Source organism: Homo sapiens, chromosome 17 (assembly GCF_000001405.40).
Source record: "Homo sapiens chromosome 17, GRCh38.p14 Primary Assembly".
NCBI classification, from domain to species: Eukaryota; Metazoa; Chordata; class Mammalia; order Primates; family Hominidae; genus Homo; species Homo sapiens.
In genome coordinates, this window is record NC_000017.11 from 81,336,228 (window position 1) to 81,349,758 (window position 13,531).

Consider the following 13,531-nt stretch of genomic DNA (forward strand, 5'->3'; position numbering starts at 1 on the left):
ACAACAGTGGGGCCTAGAATGGGCTAAGGACATTATCTCTGCACCTAGGAAACCCCCACCATTCACTAGTTATTCATCCATCCACCCACCCATCTATCTATCCACCCACCCACCCACCCATCTATCCACCCCCCAACCCACCCATCTATCCACTCCCCAACCCACCCATCTATCCACCCCCCACCCACCCATCCACCCATCCAACCATCCACCCATCCACCCATCCACCTATCCACCCATCCACACCCCATCCATCCTATCCATCCACCCATCTGTCCTTCCATTCAATAAACGCTTCATGAGAGAAGAGACCCACCCTCCAGAGCTGACCCTGTAGCCCAGCCCAGGCCTCCTGGCACGGTCATTGGACTGCCTGGGTTAGATCACATGGGGTCCTGGTGGACACGTCGACTCTACTCTCCAGGGCTGGGCCCTGGCATCTGCATTTTCACCGAGGTCCTCTGAGGACCACATACTGATGCTTTTTTCCACAGGCTCTGAAGGCCCAGCCAAGGAGCTGACAAAGCAATGGACGGTGGCGAGGTTCTGCCAGGGGCCCAGCCATGGCTCTGGGGGTGCAGAGACCTGAGCAGAGGCCTCTAAGCTCCACCCATTTCCCACCAGCCTGACACAAGGCCCAAGAAGGCCAGAGTTCTGGAATGTAGGGGATTTGGGGCTACACTTCCTTATAGGACAAGGGAGTCCTGGGGACAGGGTCCCCAACACTGTGCACCCTTTGGTGGGCTGGCACTTGTCTCCAAAAGGAGGGCTCCAAAGTCGGGGCGGGTTGCCTGGGTCCCAGCTGGGCCCTGCTCTGGACTCCTGGCTCTCCTTTCAGGCTCCTTCCCCAAGGGCGCATCCCCCGCCCGGCCTGAGCTTCAGTCAGGGCTCACACCCTTCCCTGTCTCACTCAAGTGGGCCTTTCCAGGGTCAGTGAGAGACCCTGGGGACCCCATCCAGCCCAGGCCACACGGCAAGAGGGGAACTGCTTGCCTAGGCCCGGGTGTGGGTGTGAGAATGGCTGGAATCCTTCCAAGGTGCCCTTGCCTTCACCCTGTGCCCCCCGTGCTCCTGCACCTGGGCACTGGGGCTGCAGAGCTGCTGAATTGCAAGGGGGACCCCTCACCCTTAGATCTTGTTCATGCTAATGGCTTTGCAGGGGTCCTCTGATGCACCCAGGCCCCCTCCTCCCAGCTGGCCTGATTAGCAATGAGCGCAACTCCGGGAAAATTATTAATTTCTATCCCTCAAGTTTACTTCTGGGAAAGTTTGCCAATTAACTTGGCAAGCTGAGGCTCCCAAAATAAAAGGCAAAGGGAGGGAGAGGCACTGGGACGGTCCTTGGTGGGAGGGGCAGCAGGTGCAGACTCCATCCTCAGGAGTGGGGGTGGGGTGGCCTCGGACAGAGCCGGGGCCACTGGCTGGGAGTGGCCTGAAGTGGAACGAGGAGGTACCCTGCAGCGGCCCCGCCCACCATACCAAGGGTGGCCCCACGCAGGGCTGCACCGCATCTGGTTGAAACTCGGGAGGTCTGGGCGGGGGATGCAGGGGCGCCTGGGGGCCCTGGCTCTGACAGTGTCCACATCTGCACGCGGAACACACAGGCTATTGATGGGTCTGAAATAAAAGGGGCTGAGGGCAGCGGGCAGAGCCTGGGACCACCGCGGCTGGGCATCTTCCCATCCAACAGTCCCCAGCTCTGGTCCTTCTCACTTTCTTCTGTTTGTTTGTTTGTTTTGTTTTTTTGTTTTTATTTTTGCGACAAGTTCTTGCTCTGTCTCCCAGGCTGGAGTGCAGTGGCATGATCACGGCTCACTGCAGCCTCAACTTCCTGGGCTCAAGCAATCCTCCTGCCTCAGCCTCCTGAGTAGCTGAGACCACAGGCATGTGCCACCAAGCCCAGCTAATTTTATTTTATTTTTTGTAGAGATGAGGGTCTCCCTATGTTGCCCAGGCTGGTCTCAAACTCTGGAACTCAAGTGATCCTCGATCCTTGGCCTCCCAAAGTGCTGGGATTACAGGCATGAGCCACCAGGCCCGGCCCCTTCTTTTGTGCAAAGCCAGGCCCCCCCCACCCCCGATGCTGGGCTCCACACTCCCCCAGAAGGCCTTCCCCCTCTCTTCCCCCTCTCTGACCATGCATCTGATGCGGTTTGCTTTGGCTCAGTCACTGGCGGTGAAATGTTGCTGTCACAATCTCGGCTCCTGCCTTGCTCTGAGGTCTGTGTGTGGGTTGGGGAGGGGGCAGCAGGATGGCGCCCCTTCCCAGCCAAGCAGCCTCTGCACAGTGGGTGTGCAGCCTCAGGGAGGCAGATGCCAGGTGCAGAAGGAAGCCAAGGAGACCCACCTGGAGAGGCTTCTGGGCCCTCAGGCCTTGGCACTGACTACGGGGCCCTGGCTGGGCAGATAGCGCCAGAAGGGACACTGGACCCTCCCAAGGCTAGAAGAAATAACCAATCCCCACTCAACGAGGCTGCTTCCTCTGTGGCCAGATCGAAGGCAGGGCTCCTGATGAGGGGGCCAGAGGCACTGGGCCAGCTGCTTTTGGACCCAAGGGACCTGCCCAGATGCCTGTGGGGGTGTGGGGAGTGAGGGGAGCCACCGTACCCAAGGTCGCAGCATCCCTGGGAAATGGTCCTGCCCAGCAGGCTTCCGGATGTCTGGTTCAGGAATGTCTCCCCAGGCCCACTCTGTAGTGGCCAGAGACAGAAGGGCAAGGCCATGGCTTTTTAAAAGGCAGCCAGAACATTCGTCTCCTGCCAGAGTAAGGCCATGGCTGTGCCCTCCATGTCCCCGGCACTTCCCGCCACCCCAGGCTTATCTCATCTCCGGTGCCTCCTAATGGAGGCGCTGTGGCCCAGCCCCTCCAGCAATGTCCCAACAGCCCCCATCAAGCCCCAGAAGTACTCAGAAACATAAATTAAAACAAATTGCATTTAAAAATTACAAATAGGGGCCATTTTATCGTTTTTTATTACATAACAACCATTAATAAAGTGTAGTCCCTGCACCTTCATTGCCTGGAGACTAAAGTTCAATTCCTGTCCTCCATGCAGGCTGGGGATGCCATTGTCACAGCCACGTACCTGGGGTAATACAAGTGTAAATACATTTATGGGCAGGAAGAGGGGCTTAGGAGGAGGGCCCTGCCGCCCACAGGGCAGGGCGGGTCCTGGAGCTCTCTGCTGGGAGGAGCCACTGCCTTCCTCCCAGGATGATGATGGGTTAGGGGATCCTGGGACCAACTGGACATGAAGAGGCCACTCCCACTGGGGTAGAATGAGGTGGGGGCTGAGATCCTCCTGCCTCCCCTTCCTGATCAAGGAGGGCCCATGCAGGAGAAGGAGATGCAGGCGCAGGATTGGCTGTATGGTGCACACACACACACACACACACACACACCCTGGACCCCCGTGACAGGGAAGCAGAACAGGAGGCCAAGACCAGCCACACACTGCGAGACCAGCGGCCAGGCTGCCCAGAGCCCTTCCTGGGTTCAGCCTCTTTCCTGGGCTTCTCGTCCCACTGGAGGAAGGGCCAGGAGGGCAGAGGTCCTTCCTCTTTCCACACTAAGCACCCACAGTCTGCAGGGATGTGTGAGCCAGAAGCTGGGGTCACCCCTGTGCTAAGCAGCCAGGGCTCCCCAACTGCCCTTGCCAGACAGGTGGGCCCAGCAACTGCTTCCCACCTGAACCCACTGCACAGCCTGGCAGGTGGGGGCAAGCTGGAACGCGGGCAGCAGCACTGGGGGGGATGGGCTGTGTGCAGAGCCCAGCAGCCACTTGGCTGCCAGGGAATGGCCCAGGAATCAGGCACCACTTGTGCTGCAGCCCCTTCCCCTCCCCTCCCCCTCCTCAGCCTCCTCTTCTACCCCAGGGCCCAGGCCGGTTAATCTTTAACTGCTTCTGGACTAGCACTGACCCCAAAAGCAAACACAGCAGGATTCCTGGGGAGGAGACATGTCTTCCAAGTACGGCTGGGCAGTGGTGTCTTTTTTTTTTTTTTTCAGATGGAGTCTCACTTTGTCGCCCAGGCTTGAGTGCAGTAGTGTGATCTCGGCTCACTGCAACCTCCGCCTCCCCGGTTCAAGTCATTCTCTTGCCTCAGCCTCCCCAGCAGCTGGGACTGCAGGCGCCCGCCACCACTCCCGGCTAATTTTTTGTATTTTTAGTAGAGACGGGGTTTTACCGTGTTAGCCAGGATGGTCTCCATCTCCTGACCTCGTGATCCGCCCGCCTCGGCTTCCCAAAGTGCTGGGATTACAGGCGTGAGCCACCGCGCCCGGCCCTTAATTTTTATATTTTTAGTAGAGATGGGGTTTCACCATATTGTCCAGGCTGGTCGCAAACTCCCGACCTAGTGATCCGCCTGCCTCCCAAAGTGCTGGGATTACAGGCGTGAGCCACCGTACCCAGCCTGCAGTGGTGTCTTAAAGGAGGCACTGGGTGAGGGTCACTGGCTCCAGGTGGGTGGGGTGTCCAGGCCTCTGCCTCGTGCCCCTCAAGCCTCATTCGTGCTGGAGACTATAAGCTTCTCCCCAGTTCAGAGCTGCAACCTTTCCCAGGCGTGACCAGGGGCAGGGACGGCAAGCAGAAGGGGCCCGCAGGACCCCAAGGCCACGTACTTAGGAGCCTGATGTAAGGCTCTGAAGGCCGGGGAGGGGGCTATAGGGCCAGAGCAGGGGAGGAGGTCCCCACTGCAGCTCGAGGGCAGAAGTGTCCCCGCAGAAAGCAGAGGAGGGGGCGCTTCCTCCAGAAATCCGCCAGGCCATTGTTACACTTTCTGAGGCCAGGGAATTTTTCCAGGAGGTTGTGACAACCAAAAATAATAATAACGCCCCTCCCCCAGCAGCAGGGATTCTGGAAAAAACAGCTGCTGCAGTTATCAGGGCCGAGGAAAAAACAAGGTCAGGCACTGCGAAGATTTAATTTCAAGCGCGTCCCCGCAGCCCGCCGGCCACGCACCGCACGCACGCGTCCTCCCCGCGCGGGGTGGCGGCCGGCGGGAGCCACGTGGAGCAGCCGCGGTGCCTCCGGCCACGCCTGGCTCCCGATGCCGCGAAGGGGGTCTTGGGGCAGGCCCCGCTCCCCGAAGCTGTCGCTGCGGCTCCTGCCAGCCGGGAGACGACGAGGGGAAGGGGTGGGCCGCGCTGGGCCTTCCGTCCATCCGTCCTTCCCCAGCTCTGCGGGGGCTAAATCCGTCTTCAACAAACCTCGCGAAAAAGCCGAGGGGGGGACGCGCCGTTGCTGGAGAATAGGTCAGAAGTGACAGCAGAATGGGCCGCTGAGACCCCCGTCCCCGCCCCGGTCCTCCGTCGGCCTGGCGGGCGGCGACGTGGGGAGGGGCCGCTCAGAAGCCGGGGTCGCCCGGGCCGGGGAACTTCCTCGCGCCGACGCCCACTCCCCACGGGCCGCACTCGCCGAGGGGCCGAAAGGGGCTCCAGTGGAGGACGCGGTGGGAGCTGGGTCCCGCTCTAGCTGCCGACGCCGGCGGTGCCCGGGTCTCCGGGAGCGCAGTTTTTGGCACAAAGTAGCGCCGAAGACCCTGCCGGGTGTCCCGCCGCGGCTGCCGCTGTGCCCGCGCAGGGCCGGCTCGTGAATGCGTGCGGGGGCTTTCGAGGGCGCTTCCTCTACCCTGCGCGCCCGGGGGAGCTGTCCGGTCGCCGCCGGCAGGCAGAGGCTTCGGGCCCCATGGGTGCCCCCGAGACCCCGGATCGTGCGCTGAGAATGTCGACGTTTCAAACGAGCCAGCAGAGCGGGCCGGAGCCTTGGTCGGGAACCGGCGCCGCGTGCGCACTGGCCGGCGAGGCCTCTGGCCCGCCGGGGAAGGAGCCCAGAGCGCCTGTCTCCCCGGTAGAAACCAACACACACAAATAATTATCCGTATTTCCCACACTGGGGGATTGGGAGTAAGGAGCAAGGATAGGGGAGGGGACAGGATCCAACCCGCTGGTTTTTTACTTTAAAAATTATATATTTTATGTCACGATCGCTTTTCGTTAAGACCACAAACATCCAATTTGGCTTGGCGTAATAAAATCAGCCGGAGCTCCCTTAAACGGAGCCATTCCGGTGAATTAAGTTGTGAAATCTAATCTATTATATCCATAAAGGAGAATGCTTTCATTGTAAATTCAGGTTACAAAGAAACTATACCTGGGCCGCCGGCCTCCCTTTCGGATTTACTACTTGAAGGCTTATCAAATTACTTCAAAATGCTGGGCTACCCCCTCCATATCTCATGGCAACAAAAATTAAACGTGGCAACATTTCTTTTAATAGTAGGAAAGGTCAAAAACAACCGCCACAACAAGGGGATATAATTTTTAAAAGACATCCTTCCCCACCCCGGGATGTCTTCTCCGCGTTTGGAAGCGCCCTTCCTATTTTCCCAATTAATTCGAGTTTTTAAAATATCTAAACGCGCCACGACTTCCTTCAGGTTCTCCCCCGCTCCACGAGGCGTCTGAGGCGCAGCTCCCGGATGGATCGCACGTGGGGCCGCAGACCCTGGGCGCCCGGACGTCAGCCGGAGGCGCGGGGATCTCGTGGCTCCGCTGCGAACCTGCGCCCCACCGCGGCCCGCACACCTGGGCCGAGCCGGGGCCGCCTCGGGAGCCCCTCGCTGGCTCCTGGGCGCCCCACTCGGCTCAGCAATGTCCGGGCCAGACAAAGGAGTCGCCAGGGAGGGGTTAATCCGCCCCTCACCCTTCTCCGTCCTTCCTTCCGCCCCCTTCTCAGGCGGCGCGGAGGAGAGAAGATGCGGCCCCTAATAATGTGTTTGGTTTAACCTGCGGGGTGTGGGTATTTGCTGCGCTTTCTTGGGTGAGGGTTGGGCCCCTTCCCTTCCACCTTCCTCCACTCCTGTGCATGATACCCTGGCTGGGGCCTGGGGCGTCCTGCGCTGGCCAGAAGTCAGGGTCACCAGGGACTCTCCGTTCTCGCTCCCGAAGAGGGGACTTGCGCGGACGGCGAGGAGGATCGATGCGTTCCTGAGTTCCCAGGGAAACGAGGCCGCGGCTGTTGTCACGTCGCGAGGAAGATTTATGAGGCGCGGGCCGAGCATGGCCCGGCCCGGCGGAGGCCGCCCGCGCACCCAGGCTAATCTTTGATTTCCATCTGATTATTTTTTTTTTCCTGCCATCTCCAAGTCGGCGTCCGGAAAGGCGAACAAAGGGAGGAGGATGGGGGATGGGGGCGCCAAGCGGTGGCGAGGGCTCGGTCCGGCAACCTTCCTCCTCAGTGGGGGCCCTTGGGCGCCCCAGGCTCGCGCCCAATGCGGGGCCCAGGAGGGCGCAGTTTGAAAGGTGACCGGGCTGGGGCTGTCGGAGACCCGCTCTGCGGGGTGGCCCTTCTAGCCGCTAGGCCCACGACAGGACTTCTAGGGAGGGGTCCCTGCAAATGCCCTTGGGCGAAGAGAGGACGGAAAGAATATTCTCCCTTAAATTGCAATTAAGGGTGTGCGGGGCGGGGGTGCTTGGGGGGTGCTGCGGCAGGCCGGGTTCGCTCAACCGGAGGCAGCAGCTCAGCCCTGGGCCGATAAGGCCGAGGGAAACGGGATTTCTTTGCTTCCCGCACGGAAAAGATCCATCCAAGCGGGTAAGAGGGAAGCGAAGCTTGCATTTTTTATGTTGAAAAAAAAATTCAAAATGGAAAATCATTTTATTGGTCACCACCCATAAGTAAACTAAAAACAGGGATAATTAGAGTGTGGGGATTTGGAGGGACCATAAATCTGCGGCGCCTTTTCCACTGGAATCAGGAGCCTTTATGGCTTGTTGTTTTATTTTGAGAGAAATGAGATCCCTGGCTTTGGTGCAGGCGGGTGTGCGCTCCGAGCGTCTTTCGGCGGGGGGGAGGGGGGAGCAGGAGGGGCGAGGAGACTTGCGCAGTCAGGGAGCCGCGAACCCCGAGTCTCGGTCCTCGAAGGCGGCAGGAGAAACCGCGCGCTGTGCCCCGACCTCTCTCGCCCTGGCCAACCGCGACTTGGGACGAGCTGGAGGAGCTTCCCCCGGGCTCCGGACGCCCGCGCCGAAAACCGGGCCATGGGTACCAAACCCGACTCTAGGCGGTCATTCACTTTGTCCCCACCCAAACTCTGATGAGCTATTTGGGAGTGCGCGGGGACTGGGAAGTGAGGGACTTTTATAACATTCTTCTTTCGACTCCGGCTTCCGAGCCCACCACCCATCTTGCCTCCTTCGCCTCCGCCCTTTGTTCTAAACTGGGGAGGGGGGAGGGGGGAGAGAAAAGGACACAAAATCACCGCCCCCCCGTCAAATCCTTAAATTTCCAATCTTCCGCAAAATGGCCTGGAATCCATTTCACTCCATAGGGGTTCTATCCCCCACCGGGTGGAGGCCAGCTTTCCAATCTCCCACACAAGCAGGATCCTTTCCCACTTCTGAAAGTCTTCAAACCCAGTCACCCCAAATGCAAACATCGTGTGAAACCCCATTAATCAGGTAAGAAAGTAGGGAGAGCTCTGACTCAGCTGCCTCTAATTTTGGGAGGAGAAAGAGAAAGTGAGTTTCTCTTTCATCAAGTACCCCAAAATAACAGCGCTCCTTCCCTTCAGCCCGCTCCAACCGCAGCCTTGCCTTTGTTGAAAGACCCCTGTCCTTCCTAGGAAGGGGGGCGGGGAGGACAGGCTCACATTCCGAAGAGTTCTGTCCCCAAAACTGTTCGAAGATTCTTTTGTTTGACGTGCACATGGGGGAGGGGAAGGAGCCCGCTCAGGCCACCCGGCCTCCTCGGACCCCGCTCAGGCCACCCGGCCTCCTCGGACCCCGCTCAGGCCACCCGGCCTCCTCGGACCCCGCCCAGGCCACCCGGCCTCCTCGGACCCCGCAGAATACCCCCAAAGCCCATGGGCGTCTCCTAACCGTGTAAGTCCGGGGCTCCGGGGGCTAGGAGGGGCTGCTCCAAGACAAGGGAAGCTGCCCGCCAGATTGGGGCCAATATCGGGCTTTCCCAACCCAAGCTTCCTCCGAAAACAACCCCCTCAAAACTGAGCATCCCTACTAGAAAAAATCCGCATTTTCCAGGAGGACGGGGTGGGAGAGCTTCGGGGAACAAAGCCCGGTCCTCCCAGCTCTGAGGCCGAGGCAGGGCGCACCTCCTCCTGGGCGAATTCAATCGGAGCTGCAGAAGAGACAAGCATTTCCAAACTGGCACCCGCTCCGAGCCCAAGGTGAGGGTGGAGAAGGGTCCCTGGTGGAAGCTGCAGGAACACTTTGGGCCGGGGTCTACCCCGCGTTCGGCGGCTCCCCGAATCCCGCAGAAAGACACGTTTGCAGCGAAAGGCTCTTACACACCAGCCGGGATTTTATTCGTTCCCTACCGAGAGTGCGCTCTGGGAGCGCGGGAAACAAGGAAAACGCACGTACCTGGCGGCGCTCCGAGGGCGGCCTCGCGGGCCCTCCGCTGGCGAAGGCCCCCAGAAGCCACTCCCCGCCCGGCTGCTCGCCCCACGGCCAGTCCCTCCCTCCCCGGCGACGCACCCCGCCGAGCCAGCTCACAGGAAGCGCCAGGAGCCGGAGACCTGGCTCGCCTTTCCGGGCGCTGCGTCCGTCTTCGACCGCCAGGGCCCGCGTCCTCTCCCCGGCCACGGCCCACCAGAGGGACCCCGCGGCGGGTCCTGGCTCGGGCGCGTCCTTCTGCGTCCGAGTTCCCAGGTTCCCGGCCGAGCTGCGGAGACGGACGCGGAGCCCTCGGGGAAGACGAGGCGGCGGCGGCCGCCGTCCGGGCAGGAGCCCCGGGGCGGGAGGGGTGCAGGGCGGAGGAGCGGGCGGGATCCCAGCGCCCCGCGCCCCGCGGCCGCCGCCCTCCGGGGCGCCCAGCCCCACCCACGTGGAACCGCCCCGCCCCCGCCGCCCCGCCCCCACGAGGGAAGGCACCCGAGCCTCGCCGCACACCCGCGCCTCCCGGTCCCGGGCCCGAAACACCGCGCCCCTCCCCCAGCGCCGTGCTCCCCGCCTCTCCAGCGCGCGGCTCCCGCCCGACCCGCGCGCCCGCCCGACCCGCCCCCAACCCCGCCCAATCACCGCCCTCCGCGGCTGCTCCCTTTGTCTGAGCCCCCGGCGCAGGCCAATGGAATCACGCGGAGGCGCGGGCGGCTTGGCCAATGGAAGGCCCAGGGGGCGTGGCTGGCGGGAGGGGCTGCGGGCGGCCGGGTTCTATGCGCTGAGACCCGAGACTGCGTCGCCGGCGGGTGCGCCCAGGTCGCCCAGCTAGAGCCGGCAGGATCCCGCCGCCGGGTTGTGGGTTTTTGACTCTCCCTCCGCTGTCGGGAGAAGCGCCTGAGTGGGGAGGGAGGTGGGAGGAGGTGGCCCCGCGTCGGGGGTGCGGGGAGCGGGACGGCGGCTTGGATGGACACGGTCAGCCCCGGGCCGGAGAGGGTTCGGCTCAGAGCAGCCTGGGTTCTGTTCAGAGCCCTACTGTGCACGTTTCCGCGAGGATCTGCGGAGAGACGTGCAGGCGACGCAGGCCCCGGGAAGGAAGGAGGGTACCTGGGCTCGGACGAGCGATAACGCTGTGTTCTGTGACTCCGTACAAACGGATCCTGGAGTCCAGGGAAAGCGTCCCAGGCCCCCAGCCCGGGCAGGGTTCGTGGGATTGGCGTCCGCTGCCCCAGGCTTACCCCGAATGGAGGAGTGACCCCTGTCCCCTGAGCTGGGTCGCATTGAGGGGAAATGCCAGGACACCCGCACCAGGGCCCAGGCACTGAAATCTGGAGCGGAGCACAGCCAGGCGGCTTGGCCTGTGCCCCGCGCCCTCCCCAGAGGGGGTCTTCTTCCAGGCTGGAGCGCACATCTCCCCTGGAGCAGGGGGTGAGGGAAGGGCCTCCTGTGCCCTCAGTCAGGCCCTGTAGGGCAGCAAGGGTGGAGAATGCCTGGACCTTCTTATCTTGTTACCCCGATTGCCTTCACCACGGCAGGGGAAAAAGTGACAAAACTGCCTTTGGGATGCCAAAGAGCTGGTGAGTGTCGCTTTCTCTGTAACAGAAACATGTAAAGCGGGTTGTCTGTTTCTAGGTGGAGGACTTTGGTCCGCTGTGTCCTGCATCTTCTTTAAAAGTAATAGACACAGTCTTAATTCACTGAGAAGGAGGCACATATGGGTGTCAGCAGTCCCAGGCCTCAGGGAACGTGCTTCTCACATTTTCCTAAGTTTCCAAACCTTGTCAAAGTGAAATCACAAACTAGAATAAAAACAGAGGCAAAGCAGCCCCTGGCCGTGAGATTTCAAAGGGCCTCTCCCTGCAGGGTCCAGTCCATCCCTGCAGGGTAAGTGGAGCCCTGGGCATAAATAAGGCACAGCATGGCAGAGGAGCCAGCACCAGGGAACACAGTCTTGTCACAAACATCCCAGGATCTGCTGGAGTCCTGCCGGGCCAGCATGGGCCTTCTCAGTCCTCAGGTCCCTGGCACTGTTGTCACCAAAGCCACGATCCCTCAACTGTTGTTGCCAAAGCCACTAGACAGCAACTTTTAAGACTCCACCCTGGGGTTCCCCACTCCAGGGGTCACCAGAATTCTGAGGCGGGCACTCTGCTGTGTCCCCTGAGGCCCACAGCAGCCCCAGGGTCTGGGGGACTCAGGGAGGACCTCCTAGCATCCTGACCTCCTCCAGCCCTGGTTGCAGCCCACAGACCCAGATCAATATGGCCTTAATGGTGTGGCTCCCAGGGATTAAGCAGCCAAGGCCAGAGACCTGAATGGGTTTAGAGGCTGAGAAGGGATTTAATCAAGGTAGCCCTCCATACAGTTCCTCCTGACACCCTCCTCTCCTGTTTCCAGTCCCTGGAGATGACAAAAAAAAAAAAAAAAACTGAGGCCAGGCACAGTGGCTCATGCCTGTAATCCCAGCACAGCACTTTGGGAGTCTGAGGCAGGCAGATCACCTGAGGTCAGGAGTTCAGGACCAGCCTGACCAACATGGAGAAACCCCATCTCTACTAAAAATACAAAATTAGCCAGCCTTGGTGGCGAATGCCTGTAGTCCCAACTATTCAGGAGGCTGAGGCAGGAGAATCGCTTGAACCCAGGAGGTAGAGGCTGTGGTGAGCCGAGATTGCGCCATTGCACTCCAGCCTGGGCAACAACGAGAGTGAAACTCCATCTCCAAAAAAACAAAGAAAAAAAAACTGTAAGTCCATTACAACCAGCAGGGACAAGATGGGTGCCCTCCGTGGCCCAGAAATCTGGAGGAGTCCTGGGGAGATGGGGGTGGGGACGTTGCTCTCGCTGGAGGGAAGAAATGACAGCCTTGGTGCCCAGAAGTGAAACCTGCTGGCAGGTGATGGCAGCTCCCAGAGGAGCCAAGGGGCCCTGGGACAGTGGGAGGGGGATGGCTGGGGTGTCTGTGGGAGGGCAGCCTCACCCTTGGCTGAGTACACTCAGCACAGGCAGTGGACAGAGAAGAGATCCCATTGTGGAATAACACCTGGAGGGAGCGGGGAGTCGTGGGCTCTGAGCCGTCAGCCACAGTTGAGGTGTCTGACCACGTGCTGCTGATGGACAAGCAGGGATCCCACACAAAGCTGGGATCACCAACCCCAAGGACGCACCACAAACTGAAGAACTAACACGAGCGAACTAACTAGCGCAGAGCCGGCGCTGTACAGCGAGATTGGGTGCCCCTCCTCCTTGGCCTGGGCTAGACTGAATCTGCCAGGTTCCCTGGCAAGGGGTGTGGCCAGGTGGCCACCTGCAGTGGAGGTGACAGCAGTGACGTGTGCCTCTCCTGTGACTGGCCCAAAAGGCCCTCCATTAACTTTTCCTTTCCCAGGGCCTGGCAACAACCAGGGTGACACAGGAAGCTTCGCTTGAGGACAGCAGAGTCACCCTCAGCCTAGGGCTCTGAGTGACTGCAAGAATCAAGGCCATTGTCAAACGGAAACCCTGCCATGGTTGTCAAGAGAGAAATCCACTTCTCTTTTGTTTAGGCATTTACACCAGCGTCTATGCCTCAGAGCAGTTTAACTTACAATTCAATTAGCAATTTAATCATTGGTTTTTCACTCCCCCGTAGCAGAATTTTACATCCGTCTGCTTGCTGTGGTCTCTAGGTGGTGGGTGGGCTCTCCTCCCTTGACTTTGGGCTTGGCGAGTGACGTGCTCTGGCTAGTGGGAAGGTAGCAGATTTGAAATGGGCAAAGGTTTGGAATGTGCCAGCAAGGGCAGCCTGGTCTTCCTGCTTGCCAGGGACCCACTACAAGCAGGCTGTGCCCCAGAGAAGAATGGAGAACGCAGATAACTGACGGGGGCTCCAAGAAGCGAGAAACCTGGGCGGACCTCAGCCCAGCCCACATCCCAGAACCCGGAGGCCAGGGGCTTGGCCAGGTGGAGGTCGGCCCTAGCCCTGTGAGCGTGAGACTCGGCCACCAAGCTTTAAGGTCGTCGTTATGCAGCACTGTTGTGGCAAAAGCCGACTGATACACCTGCCCTGGCACTTGGGGATACAGGGAAACGGATGTGGTGAATTGAAGATGATGCCACACGTCCCCTGGTGTGCCGAGGTAAAGGCTT

General features: G+C 60.3%; 1 long non-coding RNA gene across 2 annotated transcripts, besides 4 other annotated features; it reads right to left on the reverse strand.

The window, feature by feature from the left end:
• On the reverse strand, positions 2,956-9,768 carry RENO1 (regulator of early neurogenesis 1). Of its 2 annotated transcripts, NR_186479.1 has the most exons (2): positions 9,389-9,768; positions 2,956-3,086 (listed from the first exon to the last, which is right to left on the reverse strand). It is a non-coding gene; the product is annotated as a regulator of early neurogenesis 1 (long non-coding RNA). The 2 variants fall into 2 exon arrangements; NR_186478.1 differs by having other exon boundaries at positions 2,956-9,768.
• Positions 3,017-3,965: an enhancer, noted in NCBI's record as "H3K27ac-H3K4me1 hESC enhancer chr17:79313044-79313992 (GRCh37/hg19 assembly coordinates)". NCBI's record gives its function as "activates a minimal SCP1, AML or CMV promoter by ChIP-STARR-seq in naive and primed H9 embryonic stem cells {active_cell/tissue: H9 hESC(naive and primed)}" and the evidence as "EXISTENCE:reporter gene assay evidence [ECO:0000049][PMID:30033119]".
• Positions 9,400-10,319: a silencer, noted in NCBI's record as "silent region_9124". NCBI's record gives its function as "represses an Ori minimal core promoter by ATAC-STARR-seq in GM12878 lymphoblastoid cells {active_cell/tissue: GM12878}" and the evidence as "EXISTENCE:reporter gene assay evidence [ECO:0000049][PMID:35858748]".
• Positions 9,535-9,823: a silencer, noted in NCBI's record as "fragment chr17:79319562-79319850 (GRCh37/hg19 assembly coordinates)". NCBI's record gives its function as "represses an EF-1alpha promoter that drives an FKBP-Casp9 reporter gene in an ReSE screen in K562 erythroleukemia cells {active_cell/tissue: K562}" and the evidence as "EXISTENCE:reporter gene assay evidence [ECO:0000049][PMID:32094911]".
• Positions 12,074-12,711: an enhancer, noted in NCBI's record as "H3K4me1 hESC enhancer chr17:79322101-79322738 (GRCh37/hg19 assembly coordinates)". NCBI's record gives its function as "activates a minimal SCP1, AML or CMV promoter by ChIP-STARR-seq in naive H9 embryonic stem cells {active_cell/tissue: H9 hESC(naive)}" and the evidence as "EXISTENCE:reporter gene assay evidence [ECO:0000049][PMID:30033119]".